Source organism: Homo sapiens, chromosome 9 (genome assembly GCF_000001405.40).
Source record: "Homo sapiens chromosome 9, GRCh38.p14 Primary Assembly".
In the NCBI taxonomy this organism is placed as follows: domain Eukaryota; kingdom Metazoa; phylum Chordata; class Mammalia; order Primates; family Hominidae; genus Homo; species Homo sapiens.
Genome location: NC_000009.12, coordinates 122,811,528 through 122,829,097, shown reverse-complemented (window position 1 = coordinate 122,829,097; position 17,570 = coordinate 122,811,528). Strand labels below are relative to the sequence as shown.

Here is a 17,570-nt window from a genome sequence, read left to right as displayed (position 1 = left end):
CGCTCTGTCGCCCAGGCTGGGGTGCAGTGGCGCGATCTCGGCCCACTTCAACTTCTGCCTCCTGGGTTTAAGCGATTCTCCTGCCTCAGCCTCCCGAGTAGCTTGGATTACAGGCGTCGGCCACCAGGCCCGGCTAATTTCTGTATTTTTAGTAGAGACGGGTTTTCAACGTGTTGGCCAGGCTGGTCTTGAACTCATGACCTTAAGTGATCCGCCCGCCTCGGCCTCCTAAAGTGCTGGCATTACAGGCGTGAGCCACCGCGCCCGGCCTGTGAATACATTTTTCTTATTGCTTGACGCTGGGTCATACAATTCACTTTTTTGTTGTGCAGATTAAAACCAAAACAAAGCAATTAGGAGAGCGTTGTTGTCGAGGTGTTTTGTTCCAAGGTAGGACCCGTAGCTTCTCCCCTGCCCCTCAGCTGGGAGTAGCGGCTTCTGATTGGACAATGCGCGTCCGCCACGACGCAGGAAGGCCGCCTCATTGGTCCGCGCTGTCGGGCTTCGGCGGCTTTTCTCTTTAGCGCTCAGGGCGCTGACCCACTGCTCTTCCTCTTAAGAAAGTGCTCCATTCCTTCCGGCGCCCGGAGCTGCTGGCCCAAAGGGATCCGGAGCGAGCTAGGGCAGGTAACTGCATTGGGGTCCACCGGGAAGCGGCAGCAGCTGCGGACTACGGGAGGGAGTGGGGTTGGCGAGCTTGGGTAAAACTGCCCCTTCTTCGCTCTGTCTCGACCCCCAAGTTCTCCGCGTCTTCCTCGTCCCCTTTCCTCCTCTGGCCCCACCTCCCCCGGGCCCTTCCAGCCTTCCCCCAAAAGCTCCACACACCCCTCTGCTTCCCGTCCGGGGGCCCCGCCTCCTCTGCTCGCGTCTCCAGGGGGCCCGCCCTCGTCTCCTCCCCGCAGCGGTCCCTCCTTTAGGAGCGCAACTCCTTCCCTCCCCTCCGCCGCTGCTGTGTCCCCCGCTTGGCCCATTCCTGGGCCTTAAGTTTGGTTTTGTTCCTTCTTGGCACCTCCACCTGTCTCTCCATGATCCCTGTCTCCTTTGCATCTGACTGCTGGAGTCCTCCGATTCTCCCGTTGACCCAGGCTGCGAGTTTAGCAAATTGTGCAGCGGCATTGTGCTGGGCTTTGGGGATAGAGGTAGTGACTAGAGGTCCCTACGTTCAAGAACTCCTTGCCCGGTGGGAGAGAGTCACTTTGTAAATGGAGTATGATAGGCCCGGTGATAAGTCTTTAAGGCAGCCGCATTCCTGCTGAATTCTCAAGCAGGCCTCTGGGGGCTAAGCTGCATCTTTTCATCAGAATGCCCTTGGCTACTTCTGATGCAGAAGCCTGGTCCTTTATATTTTTAGTTTTTATTTTTTTTTGAAACAGAGTCTCGCTCTGTCTCCCAGGCTGGAGTGCAGTGGCGTGATCTTGGCTCACTGCAACCTCCGCCTCCCGGATTCAAGAGATTCTCGTGCCTCAGCCTCCTGAGTAGCTGGGAAAACAGACACCCGCCACCACACCTGGCTAATTTTTGTTTGTTTGTTTGTTTGCTTTTACTAGTAGAGACAAGAGTTTCGCCATGTTAGCCAGGCTGGTCTCGAATACCTGGTCTCAAGTGATCCTCCCTCCTCGGCCTCCCTAAGTGCTGGGATTACCTGCGCGAGCCCGGCCATCATAGTCCTTTAAACCCTTGGGAGTTATTAAAATCTTTGTATGGGCCCTTCTTTTAAACTGTCAGAATAGGTAGCGTTTCAGAGACCATCCATCCAAGCCCTCAGGGTGTTGTCTGGGAAGTTGAAGGCTGGTGACAGAGAGTGATTGCCTAGACAAATAGTGACTCAGCATTGTACTCTTGATGCCTCTTTTTGGGGTTTTTCCTGAGGATACTTAAACAATTTTTCAATTAGGCAGCAGTCTTAGCTGGTGGGAAAACTAAAAGCACAGATAAAACCACTAGTCAGTAGATTCCTCCAAGCCAGTGCAGGTGGCTTGTACACTTAACTCAGACTAGAGTAATTTATACCTCAGGCTCTTGGAGTCAGGAATCCCTGGGGTCTGGTCCCAGCTCCGTCATTCGCTGTTAAGCTTGGTGAAGACTCTTCCTTTATCTGAGCTTCAGTTTTACCTTCTGTTAAAGAGTGTGATAAGCCCTAACACACAGGGTAACGGTAGGGATTTGTTAAGATTTTGGTTATGAAAATAATCACTTTAGTGTCCTGGAAATTGTAGGATCTCAGCACAGGCGAGCCCCCTATGCTTCAGATTCATGTCTGTCTGGCTCAAATCAGCAAAGAACCTGATATGCTTTCTTTTTCCAGACACCATGACCACCCTTGATGATAAGTTGCTGGGGGAGAAACTGCAGTACTACTATAGCAGCAGTGAGGATGAGGACAGTGACCACGAGGACAAGGACCGAGGCAGATGTGCCCCAGCCAGCAGTTCTGTGCCTGCAGAGGCTGAGCTGGCAGGCGAAGGCATCTCAGTTAACACAGGTACTGAGAAACCCTGGGCTCTGGGAACAGGCTTAAAAAATGTACATTAAATACATATTAATTAAATACATATTAATAAATTAATTCTCCTGATCACTTTTAACTCTGGTCCCACTTTCAGAGGTAACCTAGTCTTTTCATTATGTGTGCTTCTAGCCTTTTAGTGCACAATACAAATGTATGTGCATAGCAGCATGGTAATGAACACAGACTGGCCTGGATTTGAATCCTGCATCTCGTATTAACAGTTTGATATCTCATAAATCACAAGTATGAGTATATGGGTAGTGCAAATTCCTAAAAATGGCATATTTACACTTGTACATTTTAATATTGTCAAATTGCTGTCAGTTGAGTTGAGGTGGCAGTAGTTTATAGTTTAATCAGCAATCTGTGTTTCTCCGTACACTTGACCTCCTACTGTGTTATGAAACTCCTTGATCTTTGCTATTGTAGTAATTCATTGTAGGTTTATTTCCGCCCCCACCACCTTTTTTTTGTTTTGTTTTGTTTTTTTGTTTTTTAAGACAAGTTCTCACCTTGTTGCTCAGGCTGGAGTGCCTTGGTGCCATAATGGCTCACTGCAGCCTCAACTTCCTGAGCTCAAATGATCCTTCTGCCTCAGCTTCCATGAGGTTCCTCTCTTAAAAAGCTGGGACCACGTGTAGCTGGGACCACAGGCGCTTGCCACCGTGCCCAGCTAATTTATTTCTTTATTTTTTGTAGAGATGGGGTCTCACTTTGTTGCCCAGGCTGGCCTCACACTGCTGGCCTCAAGCGATCATCTGCCTCAGCGTCCCATAGGCATGAACCAATGCACTGGGCCCATATTTATTTTTAAGAGGGAACCTAAACTTCTTTTCATAATTTTAAGAGAGATTTTTATATCCTTTGCTCATTTAAAAAATTAGGTGTTTTTTTTCTTCTTGGGGAGCTATAAAGGAAATTAATCTGTGATATGAGTGGTAAATATTTCTTTCAGTTTGTTGTTGTCTTTTGACTTTATATTCTTTTGTTCTTTTCCTGGATGAAAAATTTTATTTTTATGTACTTAAAAGTATTTTATAGTTTCTTAATTTTGCATTTTACTTAAAAGGCGTTTCTTCACCCTACTTTATAAAGGGCCTCACTTTGCTGTATAAAAAGGTTCTCCTGGCTGAGCACAGTGGCTCACGCCTGTAATCCTAGCACTTTGGGAGGTTGAGGCGGGTGGACTGCCTGAGCTCAGGAGTTCGAGACCAGCCTGGGCAACACAGTGAAATCCCGTCTCTACTAAAATACAAAAAGTTAGCCAGGTGTGGGGGCATGCGGCTGTAGGCCCAACTACTCGGGAGGCTGAGGAAGGAGAATTGCTTGAACCCCGGAGGCAGAGGTTGCAGTGAGCCAAGATCATGCCACTGTACTCCAGCCTGGGCAACAGAGTGAGACTCTGTCTCCAAAAAAAAAAAAAGATTCTCCTATACTTTTCATTAGTATTTTTGTGATTTCATTTTTTACACTTAAATATTGATTCATGTGGAATTCACTTTGATGCAGGGTGCAGTAGGGCTCCAGTTTAATTTTTTTTTAGATTGCTACTCAGTTGTTTCAGTACTGCTTAGTGAATAAGCCATCTTTATTATCTTGAGATGTCACTTTTATTATGTACTGAATTTCTCTGTTTATGTTGGGTCTTTAGCTGTACTATGTGGTCTCTTCCATTGATTTGTCTTTTACTGGGCTGTGTCATACTGTTTTTAATTATTGTAGTGTTATATTTTAGTATTTGGTGAGGCTAGACCCTCTTCAATTAACTTTTGCTTTATTTTTTCCAAAGGAAATTTAGGAGCCGGACACATATGTGTGTTCATGTATTTTCATTGGGAATGCATTAAATATATAGATTAATTTAGGGATCATTGGCACTTTTGTGATGTTGAGTATGTCTGTTCAGGAACATGGTATTGCTTTTCCATTTATTCAAGTCTTTCAAGTATTTTTTGGGAGCATTTTAAAGTTGTCTTCATATAGATTTGTATATTTTTTTTCTGTGAAACCAATAGACTCCAAAGCTTTAGTGGCTTATGGCAACAAAGGTTTATTTCTCATTCACGTTACATGCAGCCTGTAGGTCAATGGCAGCCCTGCTTATGTTTCGTATGTTCTTTCATCTAGGAGCTAGGCTGAAAGAATAACAGCCTCAGTTTGGCTGTGTCCCTCTATTTAGGACACACCGTTTTCATGGCGAAGCATAGAGAGCAAGAGAGGAGCTGTTGGAAACATGGAATGGCTCATACACGGCATACTTTTTGTTTTGCTCAGACATGGCATACTTCATATTTGCTCACAATCCCATTGGCCAGCAAGTCGCATAGTCAAGCCCAGCCTCAATGGGCTGGGGATATATGTACTCATCCCACAGGAGGTACCACAAGTCACATAGCAAGGTGCAAGGACATATAAGTCCTTCGGCAGCACAGGGCTTGACGGGTTAAGGGTAGCTGGAATAACAGAACAGGTTGTATTACAATCTTGTTATAAAAAAATTGTTATAAAAAATTCAGAGGCCAGGTGCGGTGGCTCATGCCCATCATCCCATAGCACTTTGGGAGGCCGAGGCGGGCGGATCACCTGAGGTCAGGAGTTGGAGACCATCCTGGCCAACATGGTGAAACCCTGTCTCTACTAAAAATACAAATATTAGCTGGGCATGGTGGCGCATGCCTGTAGTCCCAGCTGCTCGGGAAGCTGAGGCAGGGGGATTGCTTGAACCTGGGAGGTGGAGGTTGCAGTGAGCCGAGATCGCGCCATTGCACCCCAGCCTGGGCCACAGAGCAAGACTCAATCTCAAAAAAAAAAAAAAAAATTCAGATAATATAGAAGTACAGAAAGAAAAAAGTAAAAGATCTCTCTCACCAGTTGCTTAGATCCTACTACCTGGAGACAACCACTGTTAACAGCTTACATATCCTGCAAGCTCTTATTCTATAAACACACAAGTGTATATACAAACATGTATGCATATCTATGTACATAAATTATGTATATACATACAGGTCTTTTTTAATAGAAACTAGAGGATTGTACCGTGATATTCTAAATTTTGCTTTTGTAATAACCTCATATATTTGGAATATCTTTAATGGCAGGAAACACAGAGCTGCTTTACTCTAAGAGTTGCTTTATTTTCCTTTGAGTAGGTAGATGATAATTTTTTAAACTCATCTCCTAATGTTGGGCATTAGCTTGGCCCTTGTTGCAGGGTACATCATTGTGTATAGGCCACTCTGCCCTGTGGCAGAGTACACAGAGTCCCTATGATAATTGTGCAGTAGATGGAGCAAGCTTCAGGCAGATGTGAACTCCTACCTACAGATGTCAGCTGGTCCATAATTCCCTGCCCATTCTCCTTGGTCACATCCGTGTTCACCCTACTCAGGCCCAAAAGGTGTGATCAATGACTGGCGCCGCTTCAAGCAGTTGGAGACAGAGCAGAGGGAGGAGCAGTGCCGGGAGATGGAAAGGCTGATCAAGAAGCTGTCAATGACTTGCAGGTCCCATCTGGATGAAGAGGAGGAGCAACAGAAACAGAAAGACCTCCAGGAGAAGATCAGTGGGAAGGTAATTAGCAGTACTCAGGCTTTTCTTAGAGTCTGCTGTGGCTGCTAGAGCTGGGTGAGTGATTCAAGAGGTGGAGGATGCTTGATTTGACCTCCAAGAAGTTGTGCAGTGCAGGAGAAATCATAGAGCCCTGTCAAAACTCAAACCCACCCAGCTTTGGATCTCAGTTCTGCTACTAGTGACTGTGGGAGAGTCTCTTCCCTTCTGAATCTGGTGTTTCAATGGTTAAATGATGTATCCTCCCCGTGCAGGGCTGTGTTGTTAATATGCCCATCACAGTGTCTGGCCCATTGAAAGTGCTCAGTAAATTTTAGTTTCCCTTCTTTTATTGAGGTTTTATCTTGGGCCAGAAATAACCCTCTTAGGGTGGTGGTATTATCCCCTTCTTACAGATAATGGAAGCAATGCTTAGAGGGCATTAGAGGCTTGTTCAGGGCAATGCAACTGGTAAATTCTAGTAGGCGCTAGGGTTCTAACCCAAATACTCCTGTTTCTTCCATGATGTTGCTATTTCATCTGAAGCCTATTCATGAGAATTTATTCTAAGGAGGCATTATAATAAGCAAACAGATACTCTGGAAGATATTTGGAAGTAGGCACCTGATGGCCTTTTTTTTTTTTTTTTTAATAGAGACAGGGTCTATGTTGCCCAGGCTGGTCTCGGAACTCCTGAGGTCAAGGGACCCTCCCACCATAGCCTCCCAAAGTGCTAGGATTACAGGCGTGAGCCGTGGTGCCCGGCCCGTGATGGCCTCTTATCCTATCAGTATTAAAAGGGATTCACTGTTTCTCTGGATGCCCTCTGAGTGTGGACGAATGTCTGTGAGTGCCTGAGATCATTTAGTTATGGCCCAAAGCTAAAATACCACACAGGATCAGGGAGCAGATAAGAGGATTAAGCTGGGAATCATTCACCTTGACCAGGAGGCTGATTTTAGGACATTACACTTAGCCAAAGACTTCAATAGGTCAGAAGAAGCCACTCTGGTAGACTGAGTTGAAGTGGAGGGCTGCAAGATGGGAGGAAAATTGGCAATAAGTAAAATAGTGAACTCAGAATGTTGCTGGTTATGATAAAGTAACAACGTGTTCTGATCTAGTGTGATCTCCCACTCCCTGTTCCCTAATCTATGCAACATTAGGCAGAGTTAGGTTTTATGAGAGGAGCGAGGATGTCTTGCTGCACCGGGGCAGGGGTAAGATGCTTTCGTAGCTTAAGCTGTCTCTTGGGCATTGTGCCTGCTGCTCACAGCTGCTTCCTGATACTGAGGTGAGAGGCCAGAATGAGGCAACATCATATCATCACATGGATCAGTCTTGTGAGAGGCTGTTCCCGTCCTGCTGATTTATCTGCAATAGAACAGAATTGGAAACTGTCTGGCAGAATTAGGGAAGTGATTAAGCAAAGTGACACATTATATATAATTTCATAAAAATATTTGGAAACATGAGGAAATACTTATAATCGTGCTAAGTCTCGAAAGCAGGTTATGGCTTAATTGGTACACCCACAGCTGCTGCTATAAAAGCAAAACTATTTTAGTATGACTGGTAATAAAAATAATTTTTAGAGTCCATATGACTCTGTGTGTGTGTGTGTGTTTGGGGATGGTGTGGGGCAGGGGTTATGAGAGTTTTTTCTAAAATTCTGTAATGTCTTGTTATCTTTCAAAAAAAAAGTAGATAAAATATTGTCAAGACTGACAAAAAGAAATAAGCTCATGAAGTGAGATTATATGATGCTGCCTATTTGGATTGAGAGGAAATGTGATATTGTAGTTAAAAACATGGGTTTTTAAAATCTAGTTTGAGTACTGGTCTTATGCTTACTGGGTGAACTTGTTCAAATAATGTCAAGTTTTGGAACCTCATTTATAAAGTGGGGCTATTAAAAGTCCCTTCCCGATGGAGTTATGGAATTCAGTGAGATATAATGCATGTAAAGTACTTAGCATGGTGCCTTATATATTATCAGCATGTAGTACATGTTAACTGTTTTATTTCTTTTTATTTTTTTGGAGACAGGGTATCACCCTGTCTCCCAGGCTGGAGTGCACTGGTGTGATCTTGGCTAACTGCAACCTCTGCCTCCCAGGTTCAAGTGATTCTTGTTGTGCCTCAGCCTCCAGTGTAGCTGGGACCACAGGTGCACACCACCATGCCCTGCTAACTTTTTTTTTTTTTTTTTTTTTTAAGGAGAGATGAGGCTTTGCCATGTTGGCCAGGCTGGTCTTGAACTCCTGACCTCAAGTGATCCGCTCGTCTCAGCCTCCCAAAGTGCTAGGATTACAGGCGTGAGCCACCGCGCCCGGCCCATATTAACTGTTATCACGAGTGTTCAGTTTTCATATTTATGCTCACTTGCTGGTCCGCCTGCAGATGACTCTGAAGGAGTTTGCCATAATGAATGAGGACCAAGATGATGAAGAGTTTCTGCAGCAGTACCGGAAGCAGCGAATGGAAGAGATGCGGCAGCAGCTTCACAAGGGGCCCCAATTCAAGCAGGTTTTTGAGATCTCCAGTGGAGAAGGGTTTTTAGACATGATTGATAAAGAACAGAAAAGCATTGTCATCATGGTTCATATTTATGAGGATGGCATTCCAGGGACCGAAGCCATGAATGGTTGCATGATCTGCCTTGCCGCAGAGTACCCAGCTGTCAAGTTCTGCAAGGTGAAGAGCTCAGTTATTGGCGCCAGCAGTCAGTTCACCAGGAATGCCCTTCCTGCCCTGCTGATCTATAAGGGGGGTGAATTGATCGGCAATTTTGTTCGTGTTACTGACCAGCTGGGGGATGATTTCTTTGCTGTGGACCTTGAAGCTTTTCTCCAGGAATTTGGATTACTCCCAGAAAAGGAAGTCTTGGTGCTGACATCTGTGCGTAACTCTGCCACGTGTCACAGTGAGGATAGCGACCTGGAAATAGATTGAACTGATAGTCTAGTTGCATAGATTTCTCATTGTTTGGGTTGGAATACACGTCATTGTTTATTTTTGTTCCTTTGTCTTCTGGCTTTTCAGCTGTTCTTTGTAGTCCCTTTTATTATGCATAAAATAAAGAAATTCTTAGATTAAATCAGAATGCTGAATAACCTTGTAGCTAGCAATAAGGTGACTTACAGTTGTATAAACAGGAAGCCAGGCTTTTGAACTGTTTACTTAAGATTCTGTGGTGTGACATCTCTGTTATTGTTTCCAGTCAATATTTACAAAGCATCCTAAAGACAGGGTCTTGGAAATTGTCTTCAGATGATCTTAGAGGTCTCTGCCAAGTCTGAGAGTATAATTCTGTAGGTATTGTGTTATTTGCAACGTAAATAGTGCATTTTCTTAATCAAATGATTGTAAATTATATTTACTTGTAATCAGTTCCATAGCTTTAGACGGTGGTTAGATTTTTTTTTTCCCCACCAGGGTCTTGTTTAAAGGGGTGAGCCACCGCACCCAGTCCTGAGGGGTGGCCTCTGCTGCTGGATTTCATGTCTTCCTCCAGCATGACTAAGTCTGGAACAGCAGGAAGGGTTGATGCTTACTGACCTGGTGATGTTAGAAGACAAGTAGTTTATGGATTTAAACATTAGAGCTGGAGTGGGGCTGGAAATCTTTGTAAAGGAAGTTCTTTCAGTAAGATGCCCCTGCTTGTCTTTGTCTCTTTTTTGTTTAACAAGGTAACTTTTTGTTTAACAAGGTAACTTTTTGTTTAACCTAGATTTTTTTTAAAACTTTTTTTTTTTTTCATATTGGAAAAGTAATTCATATTCAGTAGAGGAAAACTGACCAAAACAGAAGCAAAAATAAGAAAATTAAAATAATCTCTAATCCTACTACCTAGAATAAAACACTATTAATATTTTGGTCTGTTTCCTGCCAAGGTGTTTTCTGTGTATACATGGATATTTTGTTTGTTTTTAAACAAAACGATGGGATCATTCTGAACATACTGTTCTATAGTATGGTCAGCTAATAATATATCAGACCTTTTTTTATATTATTAAATATTCTACAACTTTTTAAAAATGTCTATTAATATTCCATCGTATAGATGTGATATAATTTGCTTGATGGTTGTCTCTTAAAAAGAAAGATAGCAAATACTTTTTTTAAATTACAAAAGTGATAGATGTTCATTGTAGAAAATGTAATAAACACTGTTAAGACTTAAAAGCCATATAATTCCACCAACCAAAATTAATCCCTTTTGTCATATTTCTAGTCATTTTTATAGCCTTTTTTTCTATGTATTTATAATAATTATCATTTGCGTTTTTTTCCTTTTTTTAACTTTAAAAATGTATATTCTAGGGTCAGGGGAAATGTAATCTGGAATTAAATATTAGCCTTAAAATTCACAATTTTGATTTTCCTGGCTTTTCAGGAATTGACTAACTGTAAAAGAGTCTTGAAAGTATTTAGTCAACAAACAGAGTGCATTTTTTTTTTTTTTGACTAAGAAAGCTCGTTGTAGTAGAAAGGGTGGAATGTATTGAAAATTATTAGAAGCAGGGAAGTATTGTTAGTCTAGCTTATTTCCTTTCAGTCTTTTTTCAATATTTTTATAAACATTGAGTACTTACTGAATTTAGTTCTGTGCTCTTCCTTATTTAGTGTTGTATCATAAATACTTTGATGTTTCAAACATTCTAAATAAATAATTTTCAGTGGCTTCATAATATTTCATCATTTGGATATATAATAATTTATTTAACCAGTCTCTTTATTTTTATTTATTTATTTTGTTTGTTTTCTTTGAGATGGAGTCTCGCTCTGTCACCCAGGCTGGAGTACAATAGCGTGATCTCGGCTCACTGCAACCTCCACCTCCTGGGTTCAAGCAGTTCTCCTGCCTCAGCCTCCTGAGTAGCTGGGACTACAGGCACATGCCATCACGCCTGGCTAATTTTTGTATTTTTACTAGAGACGGGGTTTCACCATGTTGGCCAGACTGGTCTCAAGCTCCTGACCTCAGGTAATCTGCCCGCCTCGGCCTCCTAAAGTGCCGGGATTACAGGCGTGAGCACGCTGCACGGCCTAACCAATCTCTTTATATTGGTTATTTAGATTCTCAGTGTTTTGCTGAACACTTAATGCCTTTGTGTTTTGGGCTATATTTTGAATTATTCTCATAGATTTCTAGAAGAGGAATTACTGGGCAAATAGGGACACTTAAAAATAGCTTTTACAAACCATCTTCTGTTCTCATTGAAAATGAGAATATATTATGCACTTACAGGGAACTTGACTTTGCTTTTCAAGAACAGAAGTTCTAAAATACAGTAGGGCTGGGTGTGGTGGTTCATGCCTGTAATTCCAGCACTTTGGGAGGCTGAGGCAGACATAGTGAGGCCTCATCTCTACAAAAAATAGAAAAAATTAGCTGGGCACGGTGTTGTACCTCTAGTCCCAGCTACTTGGGAGGCTTAGTCAGGAGGATCTCTTGAGCCTGGGAGGTCAAGGCTGCAGTGAACCATGATTGCACTCCAACCTGGGCGACAGAGACCCTGTCTCAAAAAAAAAAAAAAAAAAAAAAATTAAAAAAAAGAGTAGACATGTAATGGTAATGGAGAAATCCTAGACTTTTTTTTTTGGAGATGGTGTCTCACTCTGTTGCCCAGGCTGGAGTACAGTGGCACAATCTCAGGTTACTGCAACCTCCGCCTCCTGGATTCAAACGATTCTCCTGCCTCAGCCTCCTGAGTAGCTGGGATTACAGGTGCCTGCCACCATGCCTGGCTAATTTTTGTATTTTTAGTAGAGATGGGGTTTCACCATGTTAGCCAGGCTGGTCTCGAACTCCTGACCTCAGGTGATCACCTGCCTCGGCCTCCCAAAGTGCTGGGATTACAGGCATGAGCCATCGCATCGGGCCGAGAATGTTAGATCTCTTAACTTTGGTGTCGTGGAAGCAGCATGGGCTTTAGAGTCAGGCAGATCTGGGTTCAAATCCTGTCTGGCAGTCTAGTGGTGTAGCTTCTTTCTGGTAAGAAACCTACCTTTCCTGATGCTCAGTTTCCTCATCTGTAAAATGGGAACAAAAATAACCTGTTTTGTGGAGTTGTTCTGTGACGGTGGTTCTCATGTGTGGTAGCTGGGGCAGCACCAGCAGCAGTGGCGGCCTCAGCATCACCTGGGAACTTGTCAGAAATGCAAATTCTCGGGCTTCACCCTAGACCTCCTGAATCAGGAATTCTGGGAATGACTAGGCAAACTATTTTCATGAGCCCTGTAGGTGATTCTGAAGCTTGTTCAAGTTTGAGAGTCACTGACCTATGGATTAAGGTGAGTGAGTGCACCTGTGACAGAACAAGTGCTCACTGCTCTTGGTTTCCTTATTAAAAGAGGGAGGGAGTTGAAATGGGGTAGCTCTCAGATTGCCTCTCTCCTGTTTTATTTTGTGATTCTCCCTTTTAGCCATGGAATTGGGGGAAGGAAAGAGGAACCATTTGTCTATCACAAACTGTCCCAGAGTCTTCCAGATTTCACGTTTGGAATGAAAGTCTCAGGAAGGCACGGACTTTGTTTTCTTCCTCATGTATGGCATAGAGCAGCGGTCCCCAACCCCTGGGCCACAGATCAGTATCGTTCTGTGGCCTGTTAGGAACCAGGCTGCACAGCAGGAAGTGAGCGGCGGGCCAGCAAGCTAAGCTTCATCTGTTTTTACAGCCGCTTCCCATTGCTTCCGTTACTGCCTGAGCCCCACCTCCTGTTAGATCAGCGGTGGCATTAGATTCTCATAGGAGTGCGAACCCTATTGTGAACTGCCCACGCGAGGGATGTAGGTTGTCCGCTGCTTATGAGAATCCAGCACCTGCCGATCTGTCACTGTTCCCCGTCACCCTCAGATGGGACCGTCTAGTTGTAGGAAAACAAGCTCAGGGCTCCCACTGATTCTACATTTTGGTGAGTTGTATAATTGTTATGTATTGCAATGTAATAATAATAGAAATAAAGTGTACGATAAATGCAATGCGCTTGAATCATCCTGAAACTCCCCCCACCCAACCCCAGTCTGTGGAAAAATTGTTTTCCAGGAAACCGTTCCCTGGTGCCAAAAAGGTTGGGGACCACTGGCATAGAGTAAGGGCTTGGTCTCTAGGCACAGCCTGATACTACCTTTGGAAGCAAGATGCTGAATCCCTCCATGCCTCAGTTTCCTCATCTGTGAAATGCTGATAGTAACATGAGTCAATTAATATAAAGTACCTGGAACACACAGAAGTGTTTTTATTGGTCTAGTGCCCACACTGTGCTTGGCACTTGGCAAAAGATGAATAAACATTTAAGAATGAACACATTGACTCATTGAATGGCACATCTTTTCAAAGTAGGAAGTAGTAACTGTTCAAAGGTGTAGAAACCAAGACTTAGCAGAGTTAAGTGACATTTCAACTTATACAGCTAGTGGGCAGGGCAGGATTAAAATCAGGTTTGTGAAGTTCCAACATTTGTACTATTTTCCTGATGTCATATTCTTGATGGAGAAAGCAAACTGATCAAGTGACAATAAAATAGAAACATTGAAAGACAGTGGAGAGAATAGAGGAAGGAAATAAAGAAGATAATTTATTTTTACTCATTTATTTATTTCATTATTTTTATTTATTTTTTTGAGTCAGAGCCTAGCTCTGTCGCCCAGGCAGGAGTGCAGTGGCGTGATCTCAACTCACTGCAACCTCTGCCTCCCGGGTTCAAGCGATTCTCCTGCCTCAGCCTCCTGAGTAGCTGGGACTACGGGTACGTGCCACCATACCAGGCTAATTTTTTTATTTTTAGTAGAGACAGGTTTTTACCATGTTGGCCAGGATGGTCTCGAACTCCCGACCTCAGGTGATCTGGCTGCCTCGGCCTCCCAAAGTGTTGGGATTGCAGGTGTGAGCCACCGCGACCGGCCAAGAAGAGAATTCAAAGAGCGAAAAGGAGTTGAGCTGATGGAGCCTTGGGTCTCTCAATTCTGCCTGTGTTTCAGGCCAGAATCTCCTCCTGTCTCAGCTGTGGCAGTGACCCACAATGTGCCCCTGTTGAGGGGCATCTCCTTCCTACCATGACTCAAGAGAGTCCTCCCTCCCAAAATCCATCTCTTAGGCTCCTTCCTCCACACACTGCCACCCGTGTCCCACTACAAGTGACAGCAATAGGGAGAATAGTTAATGTGGACTCTGGCTCTTTCAGTAACTAGTTAAGTGCCCTCAGATACATCTCTTCCTCTCCTGGGCCTCATTTCCCCATTTGTAAAGTGAGGAGTTGAACTAGATGATCTTTTTTTTTTTTTCCTCCCCCTCGGGACAGGGTCTTGCTCTGTTACCCAGGCTGGAGTGTAGTGGCGCAATCACAGCTCATTGTAATCTTGAACCGTTGGGCTCAAGGGATCCTCTTGCCTCCGTCTGCCGAGTAGCTGGGACTACAGGTGCATGCCACTGTGCCTGGCTAATTTTTTATTTTTTGTAGAGTGGAGTGTCTCACTTTGTTGCCCAAGCTGGTCTCAAACTCCTGGGCTCAAGCGATCCTCCTGCCTCAGCCTCCCAAAGTTCTGGGATTACAGGTGTGAGCCACGCATCTGGCTAGATGATTTCGTCAGATGCTTCAGACTCTCACATTGTATTAGTTAATTATTAATCTTTTATTTGGAAAACGTTGAAACCTATAGGAAACTGAAAAGAATATTACCATTAACATCTGTATATCTTTCACGTGGCTTCATCAAAAGTTGATATTTTGCTGCATTTGTTTATCTCTGTTTTCTGTGGAACTTTTTTTTTTTTTTTGAGACGGAGTCTCACCGTCACCCAGGCTGGAGTGCAGTGGCGCGATCTCGACTCACTGCAAGCTCCACCTTCTGGGTTCACGCCATTCTCCTGCCTCAGCCTCCCAAGTAGCTGGGACTACAGGCACCCACCACCACACCCGGCTAATTTTTTGTATTTTTAGTAGAGACAGGGTTTCACCGTGTTAGCCAGGATGGTCTTGATCTCCTGACCTCGTTATCCGCCCGCCTCAGCCTCCCAAAGTGCTGGGATTACAGGCGTGAGCCACTGCGCCTGGCGGAACTATTGAGATGTAAGTTTGCAGACATCTTGACTTTGCTCCTAAATACTTCACTGACTCTCCTAAGAAAAGGGTCTTGATCCTGTATAACCAAAATACCATTGTTACACTCAAGAGAATAAACAGTAATTCAACAATATCTAAAACACAGTTCATATCAATTTTCTCTATTTGTTCCCAAAATTTCTTTAATATTCTTTGAAAAAAATTCAGGACGCAATCAAGTTCACACATTTCATTTTTGTGACTTTAGTCTCTTAAGCTAGTATAGTCCCCTTGCCTTTGTTCTTGTTTCTCATATCAGTGATTTGTTTTTGAGGCAGGGTCTGGCTCTGTTGCCCAGGCTGAAGTGCAGTGGTGTGAGCTTGGCTCACTGTAATTTCCACCTCCTTGGCTCAAGCCATCCTCCCACCTCAGTCAACTGAGTAGCTGGGACTACAGGTGTGGAACACTGTGCCCAGCTAATTTTTGTATTTTTTGTAGAGACGGGGCCTCACTATGTTGCCCAGGCTGGTCTCAAACTCCTGAGCTCAAGCCATCCACCTGCCTCAGCCTCCTAAAGTACAGGGATTACAGGGTGAGCCACCATGCCTGGCTCATATCAGTCTTTTTTTTTTTTTTTTTCCTGTGGAGATGGAGTCTTGCTCTGTTGCCCATGCCCAGGCTGGCAGTGCAGTGGCATGATCTCGGCTCATTGTAACCTCTGCCTCCCAGGTTCAAGCGATTCCCCTGCCTCAGCCTTCTGAGTAGTTGGGATTACAGGTGTGCACCACCACATGTGGCTAATTTTTGTATTTTTTTTTTTTAGTAGAGGTGGGGTTTCATTATGTTGGCCAGGCTGGCTTCGAACTCCTGACCTCAAGTGATCTGCCGGCCTAGGCCTCCCACAGTGCTGGGGTTACAGGCGTGAGCCATCACACCCAGCCTTATCAGTGACTTTTAACCATTTATTCATTTAGGTGACTGGGGATGGGTCTAAGCCTGGGCATAAGGAAGGGCTAGACCGGCAGCTGGGTCCATCATGCCCAGCCACCTGGCAGCCTGGCCACCCTTCTGCTGAGGCTTTTTAAAGAATCCAGGCCAACTGTCATAAAAAATGCTCCAATTTCTGGCTTCTCAGATTGTTTCCTTATTTCTGGCAATAATACAATCACCAGAGGTGATGTTGTGTAGTTCTTACTACATAAGTCAGGGAGTATCTGATGTCAGCTTGATGATGCTAAGTTTAATCACTTGGTTAAGGTGGTGAATGACAAATCTTCATATAGTAAAATTATTTCCCCTTTGTTAGCAGAAAGAAATCTGTGTTGTGATACTTTGAGACTGTGTGAATATCCTCTTCTTACAATAACGTTTCACCTAATAGTCTTGGCATCCTTGCCTGAACCAAATTATTACATTGGGGGTATGCGTAAAGGTGATTTTCTTTATTTTAATTTCATTTCATTTTTAAGAGACAGCGTTTCACTTTGTTGCCCAGGCTGGAGTGCAGTGGCGCAATCACAGCTCACTGCAACCTCAAGCTCCTGGGCTCAAGCGATCCTCCTGCCTCAGCCTCCCAAAGTGCTGGGATTACAGGCGTAAGCCACTGTGTTTGACCTAGCGTTTGCTTTTTTTTTTTTTTCCAATACATCCTTTTTGGTTCCACCTTTTTGAGCATATAAAACATTTACCCAGTTTAAAAGCCAACAGAATATGAAGTTGTGTTCTCAGAGAAGCCTCACTCCCATTGATTCCCTCCACTCCAAGAATTTATTTTGGATTGTGAATGCTTGTGGTTAAATTTCTTGGTGTCTCTGAGCTGTGATCTCCCAAGTGAGGATAATCATAGCAACTATCTCACAGGGTGGCTGGAAGTGTTCAATGAGCTAAAGTTCTTAGCATGGTGAGGCACCTAGCAAACATTCCTTAGATCCATAGAGGTCATCAGTTTTTTGTTTTTTTTTTTTTAAACTATCCATCCTCTACAAAACCCTGATCCCACTTATTAAAAAAGGGCTTTAAGATCCCAATTCCGGCCGGGCGCGGTGGCTCATGCCTGTAATCTCAGCACCTTGGGAGGCCAAGGCGGGCGGATCACGAGGTCAGGAGATCGAGACCATCGTGGCTAACACGGTGAAACCCCGTCTCTACGAAAAATACGAAAACAAAAAATTAGCCGGGCGTAGTAGCGGGCGCCTGTAGTCTCAGCTACTTGGGAGGCTGAGGCAGGAGAGTGGCGTGAACCCGGGAGGCGGAGCTTGCAGTGAGCCGAGATCGCACCACTGCACTCCAGCCTGGGCGACAGAGCGAGACTCCGTCTCAAAAAACAAACAAACAACCCCCCCCCCAAAAAAAAACCAATTTCCCCTTGTCAACTCAAATAAATCCTATTTATCCTTGAAAATTCAGCTCAAACCTCACATCCTCTCTGGATCCTAAGTCTTTGCTGTCTCTTCAGAGAGAGGCA

General features: G+C 44.1%; 1 protein-coding gene across 1 annotated transcript, besides 1 other annotated feature; it reads left to right on the top strand.

The window, feature by feature from the left end:
- Positions 314–608: an enhancer, noted in NCBI's record as "tiled region #52; HepG2 Activating DNase unmatched - State 1:Tss, and K562 Activating DNase unmatched - State 1:Tss". NCBI's record gives its function as "activates a minimal TATA promoter and a strong SV40 promoter by Sharpr-MPRA in HepG2 and K562 cells {active_cell/tissue: HepG2 | K562}" and the evidence as "EXISTENCE:reporter gene assay evidence [ECO:0000049][PMID:27701403]".
- Positions 510–11,001, top strand: PDCL (phosducin like). The gene is made up of 4 exons (NM_005388.5): positions 510–627; positions 2,306–2,482; positions 5,901–6,082; positions 8,462–11,001. The coding sequence occupies exons 2-4, from the start codon at positions 2,311–2,313 to the stop codon at positions 9,011–9,013; spliced, it is 906 nt and encodes a 301-aa protein (NP_005379.3). The 5' UTR covers positions 510–627; positions 2,306–2,310; the 3' UTR covers positions 9,014–11,001.
- The last annotated feature ends 6,569 nt before the right edge of the window (positions 11,002–17,570 follow it).

What these genes read in the sequence shown, in the direction of transcription:
- PDCL (NM_005388.5), top strand. Translation starts at nt 2,311, where the DNA reads ATGACCACCCTTGATGATAAGTTGCTGGGGGAGAAACTGCAGTACTAC. An exon ending in AGGCATCTCAGTTAACACAG is followed by an intron (nt 2,483 to 5,900) that starts GTACTGAGAAAC and finishes CACCCTACTCAG; the next exon opens with GCCCAAAAGGTGTGATCAAT. An exon ending in AGGAGAAGATCAGTGGGAAG is followed by an intron (nt 6,083 to 8,461) that starts GTAATTAGCAGT and finishes GTCCGCCTGCAG; the next exon opens with ATGACTCTGAAGGAGTTTGC.